The 18,083-nt window shown below is 33.6% G+C and overlaps 1 protein-coding gene across 16 annotated transcripts in view; it reads right to left on the bottom strand.

Annotated features, from left to right (window-relative positions):
* EPHA6 (EPH receptor A6) overlaps window positions 1–18,083 on the bottom strand; it is a 946,939-nt gene that overhangs the window by 156,214 nt on the left and 772,642 nt on the right. For 14 of the 16 annotated variants that reach the window (XR_001740110.2, XM_017006211.2, XM_006713592.4 and 11 more), the window contains one exon: window positions 12,582–12,707. The exons of the other annotated variants lie outside the window; for them this stretch is intronic. Coding sequence is in view for 13 of the 14 variants with exons in the window: in XM_017006211.2 (XP_016861700.1) it covers window positions 12,582–12,707 (126 nt within the window). In the remaining variant the exon portion in view is untranslated. The remainder of the gene's footprint in view (window positions 1–12,581; window positions 12,708–18,083) is intronic. 16 annotated transcript variants of the gene reach the window in all.

Raw genomic sequence — 18,083 nt, 5'->3', positions numbered from 1 at the left:
GAGTTTATGGCTCCTTTACAATTTCTCTCAGTGACTCATAATTTCCTGAATATTACTTTACTTGCACCTTCCTCTCTTCTTTGGAAGACTGCCTTCTTGTTATCTCTACTTGACAAAAATCATATACTTTAAAAAAAAAGCAGCTTAAATATCATCTCCATTGTAAACTCTCCTATGAATTTCTCTGTTTTAGGAAGTCTTGACAGTTTACTTTCTCCTCCCTTTATATCTCAATCAATTTTAGAACACTTACGGTACAGTATTAATGTTAACAACATAGGTGTCTGTCTCCCATTCTAAAGTGGCTTTGACCTCAGGACTAAATGCCCAATTCTTCTCTATAAGGTCACTATCTAAGCACAGAGCTAGGCACAGAGTAGGTATTCAATTTCATATTTTTTGAGTTGAATGTCAGAAGAAACACACACATAAGAATGTTCTCCAAGAACAATTGCAGACCTACAAAAGATTTACTGAAATAACAGAATGGCAAATCAATAATTTTTAATCCTAAATTAGTTATATTATCAAAACTATTGTTTTGAAGACAGAAAAATTCAAATTTCAGCTCCTCTAACTAGTAGTTGCATGATCTTAGGGAAGTTATTTTAGCTCTTTCAGTTTTTGCATCTATAAAATGAGAATAATATCATGTTCTACATAAACTTTTTGAAATAATCGGATGAGAAAATATATAATTAGCACAATGTTTGTCACTAAAATGTTGATGTCCATCTACTTTCCTTTCCTTTTGTGCATAGGTATCTGCTTCTGTATTATTATGTTTGCACACTATGTCACAAAAAGTTTTAAAAAAATAGAAAATTTTTATTTTTTATTGCAGATTGGTATTGACATGAAAATTATTTTTTCATCTTTGGCTAAGTGAAAGTAAAATTATTGCTAGTTAGATGTTTCATATGATGCAGTAAACTTCCAGTTTTAGCACTAAAATTCTTGTGTCCCAGGCAAACTAGGATGATTGGTTACTCTATATTTTGCTCACCCAGCACAGTACAGTTGAAGTTGTAAGATTAGAGTCACATAGCCTGATATTGGAGATGTTTTCCCCTTTGGACAAGTAACCTTTTTTAACTCACTTTTCAACTCACTGTCTCTGTTTCCTCATTTGAATATTATATATTTCTCATTGGCATATTTAATTTCCTCATTTGTATCTTATTATTGATTTTATTATATATAGGTATATTATTATAGCCTCCTCCTTAGGGTGGTGAGATGAAAAGGATAATGTGTTTAAAACAGAGAATAGAACCAAATACTGAATATTGAGTCACCCAATAACAGCTAATTAAATGAATGGCTATATGTTGAGTATTATATGCTACCTTACTGACTAGATGTTGAATCCTAAGCTAAGAAGTGGTTTGCAGAGCTAATAAGGTTCATTAGTAAAATGACTAGTGTCAGTAAATTTAGGAGCTCTCTGATGGTCTCAAAGGTCCATTTAAATCATATATGCCTGAAATTGACAGGTTTGAAATTGCTTCAATGAACAAGATGGTTTCTCTTAGGGTAGAGTAAAACAATTTATATGAGTATTTTCCTATTTTAAATAACATACTATAACATATAATTTCTTAACAATAACATCTGCTAAAAGTAGGTTCTTATTCCCATTAACAATCTATGTTGTATCTTCTGCACTCTGTTTACAGATTTTTGCCTGTAACATGTTTTATGGTTAATCTAGAATTGACGGTTTTAATCTTAGAGTGATTTGAAAACCCTCAGTTTATATAGTCACTATGATGATTCGATTCCATTTTCCCCCTTAATTTATTTCATTTCCTTTTTAAAATTTAGTGGTAAGCCAAATACCCTTGGAAAAATGCTGAAAAAATACTTTCTCTAGTGATAAAAGAGCTGAGCAAAAATTAGGAAAGGTGATCTGCATTTATGAAAATAGTAACATTTCTTAATCTAGATTTGTTAGAGTAAATGGAAGGTGTGAGGCTAGAGAAACAAAACATGATTTTCCTGCCGGTTCCAGAGAGCAGTGGCATGCCATCTGCATCAGTTGACCTCAGTAATATTCAGTGATGTCCTCCTTCCTGCTAGAAATTATCATATAGGAAAAAAGGTTTCTTCTTAACTAAAAGTGTCTTGTTAACAATGAAAGTTACTGACAAATTTGCCTCATGTTGGATTGTTTTTACTATAAGATACTAACCATATTGAAAAATTTTAATAACAAATGAGTTTTTAAGAATGTCTTTCTTGATTTTGTATTACATTCACATTTAGAAAAGTAATGGTGATATACAAATTAAAAGCATATCTTTTGAAATTATTTGTGATTTTTGCTTCCCCAAAATTATGAAGGAAGTGGTTATGTAATAATTAATAGTTGAATTACTATTAGGAAGCAATAAAAAAACACAGCAAGGAATTTTCATATCTTGAAATACTATATAATGTCGAAGTTCAAAACTAAATTAAATTACATGTCAAATAAATAATTATATGCTGCTTTAGTTCTTGGTTTTCTTCTTTAAAATCTGTTTGTATAATTTAAAAATAGATACTACTCTAAATCAGCAGGTAGGTAAGAATAATTTTTTATAAGTTCTTCAATGTGCTAGGCACTGTTCTATGAGCTTTACATGTTTAAACTCATTTAATCCTCATATTGACCCTTGTGGCAAGTGTAATTATTAGCTCAATTTAACAGGTAAGGTTACTGATGCACTGAGAGTTTAAGCAACTTGCCTAAGGACACACAGTGAGCAATTGGCAGCTCAGGGGCTTAAAGCCAGGCAATCTGGTTCCAGAGTCTGAATGCTTGGCCATCTCCTTATACCCCAAAGTAAAGCTTGTCTCCACTAGTAATTTGAGGAGCATAAAGCATTACCCCAAATCTCTGTGTCTTATCCTAGAAATATCCTGGAAGGGTATTATGAACTAGGCACTGTGTTGCTCCCTGGGATATTTTATTGAGAAATTCCAGGATTTTAAAGGCCTACAAAGCTGTAAAACGTTCTATACAAACAGGAAATATGTACTAAGGACACTGATTGGAAAAACCTTCAGATTTTGCTTTCTCAAACATCAGTTTATATTAATAATCTTAAGGTTCCATTAAAAATAAATTTGTTTTATATTATATTAATATTCTCAAATTTGGCTTAAAAAGACAAGGCTTAGCAGTTGAAATTTCAGTTGTAAGAGGCATATATGAGAACATTAAAGAGCAGCAATGTTATATGCTTTTGCAAAAACTCTGGGGAAGACACTAGAGAAAGTGTTACATCCTGAATATTTTAAGAGAGTCTCTAAGCTTTTGGTAGAAAGCATCATATTTTCCAGTGGTATTTCAAATGCTACGCTTTACTTCTGGCTTGAAAAATGTCTTATTATTAAATAAATGTTCAAATATTTTGCTTTCGGCTTTTCTGTATCATTCACTGTCAAAAGAAAATTATCAGAAAATTTAAAAATAAAATAAACCCCAAACAGAATATATTTCATGTATTCTAACTACGTAGGTAATTTACAGAGTGATTTTAATTATAATGGCAAAAATATTTGTTAAATAGTCATACATATGACATAATTAAACCACTGACTACTTTCCTTCCCCCCACCCCCAATGCACCAGGCAAGTAACTATTTATTTCTTAATCTTTTCTGCAACTCTTCCAAATGTTTAATTTTTAAAAAGTTCTGCTTTGATAAATGCACTCGCTGTTAAGACCTCTGTGAACATAAATATGAAAAGCCAACATGGTGTCATAGGGCAGCTTCCACTGTGATTTGTCCTACAAAGCAAAACAATGAAGGCTGAGCCAACACATGTTTTACAGCAGGGCTGGTCTGTCTCCATGTTAGTTATATTTTTAAGTGGTCCAGCATCCCATGAGGGCATGTATGCTATCCTGTGCGGCTCAACATGGCTCTCTGGAGAGGAATAGACAGCTGAGCAGCCTAGTTTCTTATTATGTTCCCAATTAAGGTGAAACCTCCCTTACAAAAAAATACTAATCAGCACAAATAGTAAATACTGATTTACATGAAGACTCAGCTAACTTAGCAAGCCATGGAAAGATTTTCAGAATTTTTCTTTGTAAGAAGAAAATGATTTTGAATGCATCTTTTGAAAGTGCTGATAGTTTCTTTGAATAAGACCAAAATAAATGGCACAATCTGTAATAATAAAACATGAAGATATCTAGGGAGTAGGTATGCTCTCAATGGAGAATTTAAATAGCCATATATATATCATATTTATTTTTAACATTCAAACTTATTCAAATGACATTAAGATAAAAGAAACATTTATGCTAATAAGAAGGCTTAGTTAAGGCCAAAGGCTAGAACTATTTAAAAATTCTGAAAATAGAGAAGTAAAAAAGAACTACTAAAAAAATCTAGAGATTACTTAAAGGCTCTTTTAAGATTTTTCATGTCTTTCTGGAAGGAGAAAAATAGAAATTCTCTTTGTAATGCTCAAGAGCTTGATATCAAATGCATCACGTAGCTTTTTTTTTTTAATGCACTGCTAGTCTTACATAAAGATGATGCTCACTTATGTCAGTTCAGCATAACTTTATATATAGAACATTGAATTCTTTAGAACCAGGGGTTCTTTGTGTGCAAACTTTAGGATGTCCAGAGACTTCCTAAAATTGTATGTAAACACTTACATACATGATCACATGTCCATTTTCTTGGGGAAGAGAGTAGAGCCTTGGCTTTTCAAAATCAGGGTTGGGGAGGAAGGTTAAATAATGGCTGAGTTTTCACCTGGTTTATAATGAGGAGTCTTATTTTTGGCCAAGAAACAAAGCAGAAAAAGCCTTTGACAAAATTCAACAACCCTTCATGCTAAAAACTCTCAATAAATTAGGTATTGATGGGACGTATTTCAAAATAATAAGAGCTATCTATGACAAACCCACAGCCAATATCATACTGAATGGGCAAAAACTGGAAGCATTCCCTTTGAAAACAGGCACAAGACAGGGATGCCCTCTCTCACCACTCCTATTCAACATAGTGTTGGAAGTTCTGGCCAGGGCAATTAGGCAGGAGAAGGAAATAAAGGGTATTCAATTAGGAAAAGAGGAAGTCAAATTGTCCCTGTTTGCAGACGACATGATTGTATATCTAGAAAACCCCATTGTCTCAGCCCAAAATCTCCTTCAGCTGATAAGCAACTTCAGCAAAGTCTCAGGATACAAAATCAATGTACAAAAATCACAAGCATTCTTATACACCAACAACAGACAAACAGAGAGCCAAATCATGAGTGAACTCCCATTCACAATTGCTTCAAAGAGAATAAAATACCTAGGAATCCAACTTAAAGGGATGTGAAGGACCTCTTCAAGGAGAACTACAAACCACTGCTCAAGGAAATAAAAGAGGATACAAACAAATGGAAGAACATTCCATGCTCATGGGTAGGAAGAATCAATATCATGAACATGGCCATACTGCTCAAGGTAATTTACAGATTCAATGCCATCCCCATCAAGCTACCAATGACTTTCTTCACAGAATTGGAAAAAACTACTTTAAAGTTCATATGGAACCAAAAAGGAGCCCGCATCACCAAGTCAATCCTAAGCCAAAAGAACAAAGCTGGAGGCATCACACTATCTGACTTCAAACTATACTACAAGGCTACAGTAACCAAAACAGCATGGTACTGGTACCAAAACAGAGATATAGATCAATGGAACAGAACAGAGCCCTCAGAAATAACGCCGCATACCTACAACTGTCTGATCTTTGACAAACCTGAGAAAAACAAGAAATGGGGAAAGGATTCCCTATTTAATAAATGGTGCTGGGAAAACTGGCTAGCCATATGTAGAAAGCTGAAACTGGATCCCTTCCTTACACCTTATACAAAAATCAATTCAAGATGGATTAAAGATTTAAACGTTAGACCTAAAACCATAAAAACCCTAGAAGAAAACCTAGGCATTACCATTCAGGACATAGGCATGGGCAAGGATTTCATGTCCAAAACACCAAAAGCAATGGCAACAAAAGACAAAATTGACAAATGGGATCTAATTAAACTAAAGAGCTTCTGCACAGCAAAAGAAACTACCATCAGAGTGAACAGGCAACCTACAAAATGGGAGAAAATTTTCGCAACCTACTCGTCTGACAAAGGGCTAATATCCAGAATCTACAATGAACTCAAACAAATTTACAAGAAAAAATCAAACAACCCCATCAAAAAGTGGGCAAAGGACATGAACAGACACTTCTCAAAAGAAGACATTTATGCAGCCAAAAAACACATGAAAAAATGCTCATCATCACTGGTCATCAGAGAAATGCAAATCAAAACCACAATGAGATACCATCTCACACCAGTTAGAATGGCAATCATTAAAAAGTCAGGAAACAACAGGTGCTGGAGAGGATGTGGAGAAATAGGAACACTTTTACACTGTTGGTGGGACTGTAAACTAGTTCAACCATTGTGGAAGTCAGTGTGGCGATTCTTCAGGGATCTAGAACTAGAAATACCATTTGACCCAGCCATCCCATTACTGGGTATATACCCAAATGACTATAAATCATGCTGCTATAAAGACACATGCACACGTATGTTTATTGCGGCATTATTCACAATAGCAAAGACTCGGAACCAACCCAAATGTCCAACAATGATAGACTGGATTAAGAAAATGTGGCACATATACACCATGGAATACTATGCAGCCAGAAAAATTGATGAGTTCATGTCCTTTGTAGGGACATGGATGAAATTGGAAATCATCATTCTCAGTAAACTATCACAAGAACAAAAAACCAAACACCGCATATTCTCACTCATAGGTGGGAATTGAACAATGAGATCACATGGACACAGGAAGGGGAATATCACACTCTGGGGACTGTGGTGGGGTGGGGGGAGGGGGGAGGGATAGCATTGGGAGATATACCTAATGCTAGATGACGAGTTAGTGGGTGCAGCGCACCAGCATGGCACATGTATACATATGTAATTAACCTGCACAATGTGCACATGTACCCTAAAACTTAAAGTATAATAATAAAAAAAAAACTTAACTAAATGACCTGAAAGATGGATTTAATCATCTCTTGTTTTTAAATAACGTATAATGATTAGTGGCAAAAATAAACAAACAGGTGTCTCCAAAAAAAATAAATAAATAAAAAATAAAAAAAATAAAAAATAAAAATGGGTACTAACTTTTTAAAGAATGTCTGAAAATATGAAGAAATAAAATGATCTACTTTGATTTTTCTGAAGTGCAATTTGATCATATTTAAAATGCATATACTTTTCCACTGTTGACTTTCCTTGGCATATTGAGTTTATGCCAATTTTCCTTAGCTTAGTGTACATTTCTCCAAAGTCTGCCACCTAGTCTTATATATTTGCATTACTACTTTTCTACAGTCCTCTATATGCATCAAAACTTGATAATATTATATCCACCAGATCCTAGATTTTCTAGAGCTTCAAATTTATTTATCATTCCTGGCTTACTTACATTCCATTTGTAACATCTAAGCCATATACTTTCTGAATAAAAATATTTTTGACTGTATAATAGTGAATACAATATTTTCCCTGACTTCAGCCCAGACAAGATTTCACATGAAATGTGGAAAGGAAAATATTGATAAACATTGTTAGTGTACTGTAAAGACATTTTAATGTTGGCTGAGGACTGTATGTCCTTTGCTATAGAAATGACATTATTGGATATGTGGTTTATAGAAATCTGGGTTGTTAAACCATTTTCTAACATGGCTACTCAGAGAATAGCAGTGAGGATGTCAAAATGCTTGGTATTTGAGTATAAGGCTCATCCAAATCTCTTTCCAAAGGATAAATAAATAAACAATATTAAACATTATTCTTAATTATATACTCAGTAATCGCAAATATAGTTTTTGAATACCCATGTGTTCATAATTCTCCTGTTATTTGATTCAGAGCAGCAGACAGGAAGTCTCACGCTATCTTTGCCATTTCCTTTGAACCTAACACAAGTCATAGAATGGAGAGAAGCTCAGGTAAAAATGTCAAAAGAGGTATTATACATATAGCATTGTACTTAAAGCACAGGCAGGCAAACAGAGAGGGTACCTCAGAAGAATATTCCTTCAATAACTAAAGAGCTTCTACGATTAACCACAAAGGAAATATTAGGGAGATATTCAACACTGATTTTATTCCCTCACAGCTTGTCTATTTCCAAGTCCCACATGCTGCCTGTTTCCTAGTTCTCTCTTTCATAGACTTCTCTTATAATTGATATCTTAAACTTGTTAGTTTAAGATATATTTGAGTTTGGTCACCCACCTATTCCATATATATATATTCCATATTTATCTATCTCTCTGTATATATCTCTATATATCTATAATCCAATCTGGCATATATACATACATATATATATATATATATATATATATATATTCCATAGATATATATGGAATTGTTGCTAGACCAAACTCAAATGTATACCTTAAACTAACATAACCCATATATATATATATATATATATATATATATATGTATATGAGTTACTTCATTAGTAAAAAATATTATCAAGTCTCACAACTGATAGAAAAGGGACAAAAAAGTAAGCTAAAATTTTGTAGATATGAACACATTCAACCTTAAGATATGATTTGCTGAGTAATTAGCAGATAATAAACATGCCTTTACATCTTATAGGTTGGTCTAATTTTTGAGACACATTGTAATGGTTGCATTTTATGTAGATTTAAGATACCATATGATGTCAGATAGTTATTGCTGAGAAGTGACAGAGAAAGTGAATTCATGAAATTTCTATATGTTACTCCATCACTATTAATGTAGAATTTTATTTTTAATGCTTTATTATTCTCCTATCGTTTGTGTATGGCAAACATCAAACTGCCAAAAATATAGAGGATTTGAGTAGAGGTGAAATCTGTCATAATGTGATCCACTAGTCTAAGACTATGTATACTCAATACTCTATGGCATATAAAAAATTCTAAACCACTTTCAAATACTGTTTGACAACATAATTAAGTTAAAGAAATAACTACATGGAGCAAAGAGAGCAAGCTTATTATTTTAGAGACTATGTCTGATATGGCCGGGCGCGGTGGCTCACGCCTGTAATCCCAGCACTTTGGGAGGCAGAGGCGGGCGGATCATGAGGTCAGTAGATCGAGACCATCCTGGCTAACACAGTGAAACCCCGCCTCTACTAAAAATACAAAAAATTAGCCGGGAGCGGTGGCGGGCGCCTGTAGTCCCAGCTACTCGTGAGGCTGAGGCAGGAGAATGGCGTGAACCCGGGAGGCGAAGCTTGCAGTGAGCCGAGATCGTGCCACTGCACTCCAGCCTGGGCGACAGAGAGAGACTCCGTCTCAAAAAAAAAAAAAAAAAAAAAGAGAATATGTCTGATAACATATTTAAAAGAGGGACACATTCTTTTCAAGGTGGTAGAATTTGATTTAAACAGTAATAAATATAGTGGAGGAAGACTTTCCTTTAAAAAATAAAATTTTAGAGTTACGTCATTTCTAATTTCTCTTCTCCTTCCCCATTCTCTTATTTCGTTTATTCTCCCCTCTCTTTTCTCCTTCGCTTCCTCTCCTCTCCTCTCCTCTCCTCTTCTCTCCTGTGATTTCCTTTTTTTTCTTTTTTGAGATGAAGTTTCGCTTTTATTGCCCAGGCTGGAGTGCAGTGGCACCATCTCGGCTCACTGCAACTTCCACGTACCGGGATAAAGCAATTCCTCTGCCTCAGCCTCCCAAGTAGCTGAGATTACAGGTGCCCGCCACCATGCCCAGCTAATTTTTTGTATTTTTAGTAGAGATGGCGACTCACCATGTTGGCCAGGCTGGTCTCTAACTCCTGACCTCAGGTGATCTACCTGCCTTGGCCTCCCAAAGTGCTGGGATTACAGGCCTGAGCCACCGCGCCTGGCCTTCTGTGATTTCTTCCTGTATCGGTGACTACTACACAAATGCATTCTGTTAATCGTATTGATAAACTTGCTATTCAATTTTCAGCTAATACTTCCTGGTGTTTTTCTCCATCTGAAACTAAGAATAATAACCCTTTACTATGACCTTTTTAGAAATGAGAAACATAAACAGTTGACAACTGTTGCATAAATACTAATTTCAGGCTTGTCTGCTTTCTAGGTCTCATGATTCAATGAATCTGTGATTATGATAGTTACTGTAAAAGTAAGTACTATAGAAATACTGCTTTTTAATAGCACAGTGTGACGTGAAGCACAAACTATTATATATAAGACATAGTCACGTATCTCTTTTAAATTTGATTATGATAAGTAATTGAGAACTAAATTAGCAATAGAACAGGTTTTTAAATTTCTTGACTGATACAGAAAATGTCTTATGTGACCCTTAAAATACTGTGACCGATAATCAATTGGCAGAAAGTGAGTTTACTGCTGCCCAGTGGGCATCAACCTTCAGCTGAGTGTTTAAAGTGTCATAGTATGGGCCATGGGAGAAAACACTTGCTGCCCTCAAATTGATGTCTGAAATCTGAAGGGTATTAATTCAGCTATTAGATGGCAAAGAAATACTTTAGTTTTTTTAAAAAATATAAAATAATAAAAACTTCTCATGATTACTGCTTCATTCCTCTTTACACAAAATATAAAAAAAATCTTGGGAAATAAGCTATAGTTGAACAAGAAAGGATAAAAAAATTCTTTGAAATAGTAGCAGTCATTACCAAAAAGTATCACACAAAATGTACAGAGATGACTTATCAAAATGATATAAGCCAGGAAAAGTGTGTTGAGTTAATTTCAGTTTGTGGAAACAGGGACAAGTTTAGATCTATACATTTTTTAAGAAGCAATTTTTTTACACCTGATTTGTATGTAAGTCATGAAAACTGAACTGAGTTTTCTCTCCTATGAAAGCTTGAGGCAAATTTGGCTTAAAGCCTAGAAGAATAGAGTGCTAGAATGTTCTTTTAGATCCCTCTCTGGAAAGTTGTTTCTGTATGTGTTATAGAACAATCATCTTCCTTCTGTCATTCTCAGTAGCTAAATGACAAAGGTTTTTTGTTTTCTAACAGTGATGTTGAATAATTCAAGTCAGTCTTAAACTTCATAATGTTATTTCTGCCAAACATATCTGACTTGACCAAGATTTGTCATTAAGAGTTAAGGGTGAGGCCATTAAACTCTACACAATCTGCTCATCTTCTAAATTCCAATCACTGGGATATTAATTATACATGAAAGCTACATGTTTATATTTGCAGTTAACTCGGAGAGCTTGGCTTATATAGTTTTTCTTTCTAATCCTTTGCAACAACATCATCAACAACAAAATTTCTGTACAATTGGTATCATTTCTTTCTCTAAGGAGAAAAAGGGCTATATAACACCCAATAAAGTGAAAATTTACAATCTTTTAACTCGTGTAATTTTGGTTTCTGCTCTTTCAGTGGTATTCTTGGCCACAAAGTATCTAACCACATCAATAAATTATCCAGTGATGAAGCTAAATGACTTCAAAGCATATTTATATGTTTCAATTAAGTAGAAAAGAGTAATTGAAAAGCAAAGGAAAAATATCAGTGTAGAATAGTCTTAAGATTTGTTGGTATAATTATGCTAACAAGGACAAGAAATGTACATTGCTGGGATTTTTGTTTTTATTGGATTTCCCAGTCTTTTGAAGTGTTCCCATTACATTGCAGGCTGGGCCAGCTCTCCTGAATACATTGATGTCATAACAATAATTTTTTAGCATTATTATTAGTTATAATAAAAATCACAAGAATTATGATTTCAAAACTCCAAGAATCAATATTTGAATTCTGTTTTGCTAAGACACATATAAAATGTAAAGTAAGATTGCATCCTTTAGGTACAATGAAGGAAGGCAGCTGGATATTTTACTAAATGTCAGGGAAGAAACAAATTGTAATTACAATCATGCCATGGATAACCTGCAAAGTGTTTTAGTAAATTTGAAATTGCATTTTTAAATGTTCAATATCCTATATTTTGTTTCTCTCAATAAAATATGGCTTTGGTCAGATTGGCATTTTTAGGGAAAAATGCATATTAATTTTTATTCTAAAATATGTCTTTCAGGTTGCTACTTTCTGGTTTCTTCAAATCATTTTTTTTTCTGTAATGAAAGGATACTTTAATTCTCTATCAACTCTATGAAATTACTCTTTCTGCCAAGAACACTTAGTTTTTAATTCACTTTTCTGGCCAATTCCAAGTGGCAAAGTGTCTGAAGTCCATCTTTGTTTATTCTTGAGTTACATATTTTGGATCTGAAGCTCTAATTCTTACTTAAGTAAAAATTTTCTCAGGAGAGGAGGCAGCACTATGCGAATTAGGTGCGCAGAGTCCTTTCACTTCCTTTGTGCCATTTTGACAGCATTCAGTATTATAAATATGGTTTCTGAATTTAAGCAGTCACTTACATTTCTTTTCCACAATATATTTAAGCAATATTCATTTTGTATTTGGGGCCTATCAACTATGAGCACAATCCTACTGCTGTATATGGTGGCAGAAAACTTCACCTGAAATACCTACCAGCAGGAATCCTGGGGGGCAAAGATCCTCCCCCTGGCACTGGATGCGGGGCCTGGATGCTATTTAAAAACCCTGCCCTCAGGAAGCTGGGGCAAAACGCCTCCACCCCAATGGCCGGGAAGGATCCTTTTAAGAGATAAAAATTGACATTAATCAAAGTCTTCTTTATGGAAAAGCATTGATCATTTACATGGAATAAAACCTAAAATCAACAAAGACATCAAATTTTACGAAGAAGTTATAAAATTAAAGGGATGGAATGCATTTTTTACTCCATAAATTTATAAAATCAACTTAGTTTCTTGAAAAGAAAGCTACTCAACTAGTTACAATTAAAGAGGGTTAGAAGCATCAGAGTGCTAGATACAATTTCCAAACCTACATTTAGAACATAAAGCTGTGCATGGAATAATAAAATGGATATAAATGCTAGTCATTGATGTTGTTTATTTGCAGAATTCATGCCTACATGAGTTACAGGCATGCAGAAAATAGCCACGATAAGATCTGATATATGCTATAACAACAGGAGCAGTACTTTACTTTAGGTCTATCTCTATTAGTGCTTAAAATAAGGAAAACTTTTACATCATGCAGTAATTACATATTTTTGCAACAGGGACAAGAAAATTGATGTACACAATTATTAATTTGTTATACTTTTCCATTAGGGACAAGACATGAGAGTTTGCAAAGGTAAAACCACATGCTTTTTCATTTTTAAGAAGGATATTGTAAAGAAAAAGTAAGTGGCTTGGAAATTTATCCATAAAATTATATAATGAATCATAGAATAAAAGAGTGTCAGAACGAAATAACAGTGTAGAGATCATCTAGTTAAAACCACTCATTTTAGACCAACAAACTGAGACCTAAGGAGGGGAGTCACTGCCACGTGGTTGGTAGACTACCAGGACAAACTCTTCCCACACTAGAATAAAAATAAATCACGAATACATTCTTATTTGGGAGATTGCTATCCTCTGAATATGAGTTAGAAACTCTGCACTTTGGAATAGTAACATCATAATTTGGTGTCTTAATAACTTTAAGATCCTAAACTCACTCAGATGAAAATTTAATACACTTGCAGTATTAGTGAATGGGCATCACTGGTAACTGATACGGCCAATCAAAGGCAAAAATTGCACTAGAACCCTCCCCCACCCACCAACAAAACAAAACAAAACAAGTTACACTGATGATTGTAAGGACTGTATTTCGTTCAGCCACTCTGAAATGCCTCAGGCTGCATAGCTTCACATTTTGAATCCTGGGGTCTTTCCTTTCATGCTCAGATTTAGCAAGTTCTGTGTTTGCGAAGAGACCTCACTTTGTATCTTGACACAAATTCTCCACCAAAAATAAGTTAAAATTTGAGGCTTCTTTGAACTTGGGTCAGAATTAAAGGAACTGGGCACACTATATATATCTTGTTTCCATGGAGAACGTTATTGGTAAAGAAAAGTTCACATCTCTCAGATCTTTAGAAATGTTTTCATGAAAGAGCAAAGTTACAATGTGTATTTTAACAGGTGAGGCCAATACAGTGTGCACTGGATTAAAGAAAGCTTAGAAAAAAAATTAAATACAGTGAATAAACTAGTTTTGTTGTTGATTTTATGGGGCCTTAGTGTAGGGTTCTGTCATGAAGAGCTGGAGTCCCTTAAACATTAAGAGACAGGGCAAGAATGCCAAGTGGTAAGTCAGAAAGTACTCCGAGGTAACTTACAAGGAGTAGTGCAACAAACTTCCTTGTGAATGCATGGAATATCTATCATTGAACACAAAGTTAATATGTGTCTGTGTGCAATGTTTCCCACACAAGGCATTTTCCACATTGCAATGTTTCATCATTTTCTGAGATAACACTTGTAATGAAGGTGCATCATTGAATACCAAGTGGGGTGATCATATATTTATACAGCAGTCTTACTTAAAGTTGCAAGAGTAATGATATTGTTACAATAGGGAAAATAATGACAACAAATGCAGATTTTATTATATGCTGTGAAAAGCTAAAATAATGCAATTTTAGCTGATTATGGATTTATTGAAGCCAAGTAATAGGAAACTCAGTTCAAGAATATTAGATCATAAAGAAACATAATAACATAGTCATGAAGAGCAAAGAAAAAATGATATAAATGAAATTAAAGGCAATTTGAAGAAAAACAAAAATATGTAAAGTAGTGACTCTAGATAATGTTAATATGTTACACATTGAGATTTTTATCTGAGTTTTTCCTGTTTTTGCCAACATTATCCAAACTGTCAACTCATAAAAGATACCCATTATTTTAACTTTTTGAAAGAAACTAATACAAATATTATCTTATTGCTATGATTGCATTGATTACTGTTTTTGTTGTTGTGACAGCCTGTCATAGTTAATAGCAGCTTTCATTTTCCTAAGCTTCCTGCATCATTCATAATGTCTCTGCTATGTTTCTTTACCATGGGTAAAAAGGTCTTTCATCTATTGTGGCATCTCTTCCTTAAGGAACTGTCATTTTTCACAGCTGAAAAAACAGACAAACAAAATAGAAGGACTGGTGTACATGAATATATATTCAGGTGAGATATTACGTGATAGTAATGCCTTATCATTTTTCTCCTTAAGGTCAGTTATATCAACAGAGATTGCATGAAACACTAAAGTAAGCTTTCACAATTTATTCAGGAGAAACAGCAATTCTTTGTTATAATTTCCTTGTTTCTTCATCCACTAGGTGTTAAGTTTTGGGGTTTGATATAAATTAGTTTTAGTCTGGCTTTCCCAATTGCTTAAGTTGCTAACTCTGTCTGTCTGTTTTCTTTCAATTAATTGTGGAATTTATTATTCAATGATATTGTAGCTAAAAAGTAAATGAAATCTAAAATGTGTAGCAGGAGCAATATCTGCTTCCACGAATATTTTGTTTTTAGTTACATTCCGTGGAGTATTTGTTAATATAAATTAGATTTTATATGTAATAAGAGTATTCCTCTAGCCGTTACAAGTTCAAGATACAAAATGTGTCATTTCACATACAATATTCTAAAACTCTGATTTCGATTCTCTCCTTAGTGCAGTGGTTCTCCACTTTCATGATAACTTTCCCAGTAGGGAGAGTCGCAAATTAGGACTGAGGAAAGGCATTCCTAGTATTTAGTGAGTGGAAGACTAAAGTTGTTGAAATAAGTTGTATAATCTCTGAAAAAAAATTATTTCTCAAAATGCTAGTAGTACCCACTGAGAAATACTGTACGTTAGTAAAGAATTATTATTATTATTATCTTAAAAAGTTGCTAGTTAATAGGTCATGTAACGAGACAGTGGGAAAAAAGCAGAAGCTGACATGGCCTGCATGCTTCCTTCTGGCTTGATCAACTGAGGAAGCATTCTGATTACAGTAAACTGGCCCCTACAGCATAATCAGTTTTCAAATCATCCTAAAAAATATATATTTAATCCGTAACAAGGGGTGTCCAATCTTTTGGCTACTATGGGGCACATTAGAAGAAGAATTGTCTTGGGCCACACATAAAATACACTAACACTAACGAGAGATCATGAGCTAAAAAAAAAAAAGAGAAGAAAAGAAAAAATCGCAATACAACCTCATAATATTTTAAGAAACTTTAGGAACTTGTGTTGGGTCACATTCAAAGCCATCCTGGGCCACATGAGGCTCCCAGGCCACAGGTTGGACAAGCTTGACTTAAACTCTGGGAAACAAAATATCTTTTTAAATTTGATATTGTAGCAATCTCCCTTAAATATCTCTATGTTGTAAATTAAGGATCATTAAACATTTGCATATGTAACAAACCCGCACATGTATTCCTTAATCTAAAATAAAAGTTGAAATTATAAAAAAGGAAAGAAATTTTCACATGTGCTTAACAAATCAGCTCTGAAGGCAAATTGTCAAAAAACATTTGTGTAAAAGATAACAGACTAACAATGAGCTTAAACTGTGCTTCAATTTCATCATCTGTAAATTGAAAATTATAACTGACTCTAGTGGGCTGTTCATGAGAATTAAATGTAGCAAATGATTATAAATATAAACCATTGCTATTATTTAGCAGTCTTAGTGTTTCTTTAAAAATAAGCCTTTAAGCATAAAATTGAAATAAATTGATAAAATTTCCTAATGCAGATTCCCCCACATACATATACAAACTCCTCATAGAAAAGATTCCCTTCTTTGAAGATGACATGTTAATAATTTACTTTTGATGGCAAAAAGTTTAATAGTAAGGATAATATCTCTGTAATATAAATGAGATATGACTTCTTCAAATTGTTTTCATTAGGTTGCATTTTTGCAAATACACATTAAGATCTATAAGTAGACAATAGATACACTGACTTAATAAAAGACAGAAAATTTAGAATTGGAAATTTGAAATACATGCACACATATGTGTTTGACGTGGTGCAGGAAGATTACTTGTTACTGTGTTTGGTCCTCTTCTGTTACACCTTGTTCAGTAATAAGTTTACTTCATACTAGTGTTTTCCAAAATTGGGCAGGGGGGTATACCAACAGAGTGCATGGAAGATGGGCGGTAGAAAGAAAATACTGAAAATTCCATTTATATTTATGCTTTTCCTCATCCTTTAGTAATTGCTATGTTTATTTTTTTATAAATATATACAATATCATACTAGTTGATACAAATAAATTATAAATAAAATATACTGATAATATCCCCTGTAAAACTTGCTCAAACATTTTTATTGTTAGATGTGTGTGATCAGAGAATTTTGGTGATCACTTATCTAAGTAATAAAACAGTGAGAAAAATGCCAAAGTAAGAATGAAGTAAATAATTTACTTCAAGGGCTTGAACAATCAGGGCAAAGCTTTAATTTTACCTGGCCCAACACAGTGATCCTAGAAGACCATGTTGTTTCTTACATAGTGGTGTCCAACCTTGGATATTCATTAGAAAATTCATAATAAAGGCCCAAGTAAGCAAATAGAATATGGAAAATCAATTTCTTCAACTCCTAAAATGTGTTATTCACCAACCACATTATGAAAATAAGGATGGTATCTAAAAAGAGGAGGCCACAAAAAACCACCAGGAGCACTATTGAAAGTACAGATTCCACCCATATCATAGCAAACCTGGCCATAAATATGTAGCATTTTATGTATGTTGTGCCTGTTTGTAGTGTGATTATTACGTGAAATCAAATATTGAAATAAAATGAACTTCCAGTCAGACCTAAATTGTTAAATTTTGTACCAATAATATGTAAAGTGAATATTATTTTGAAATATTTTTATTTTGTCCTTATTTTATATTTTGTATGTTTTATAATAAGCATAAAACAATAATAAGTAAGGCAGAACATATATATGATTTACAAATGAGTATTTATACAGTGGAGAGTTTGGGCCCAAAATATTTAATGATAGGAACATGAACAATAATTTGAAGAGCTGAGAATAGAGTGTCTGCATTCAGAAGTAAGATAGTTTCTTTTTTTTTTTTTGAGAC

Source organism: Homo sapiens, chromosome 3, assembly GCF_000001405.40.
Source record: "Homo sapiens chromosome 3, GRCh38.p14 Primary Assembly".
Taxonomy (NCBI): Eukaryota; Metazoa; Chordata; class Mammalia; order Primates; family Hominidae; genus Homo; species Homo sapiens.
This window is presented reverse-complemented; position numbering and strand designations above follow the sequence as displayed.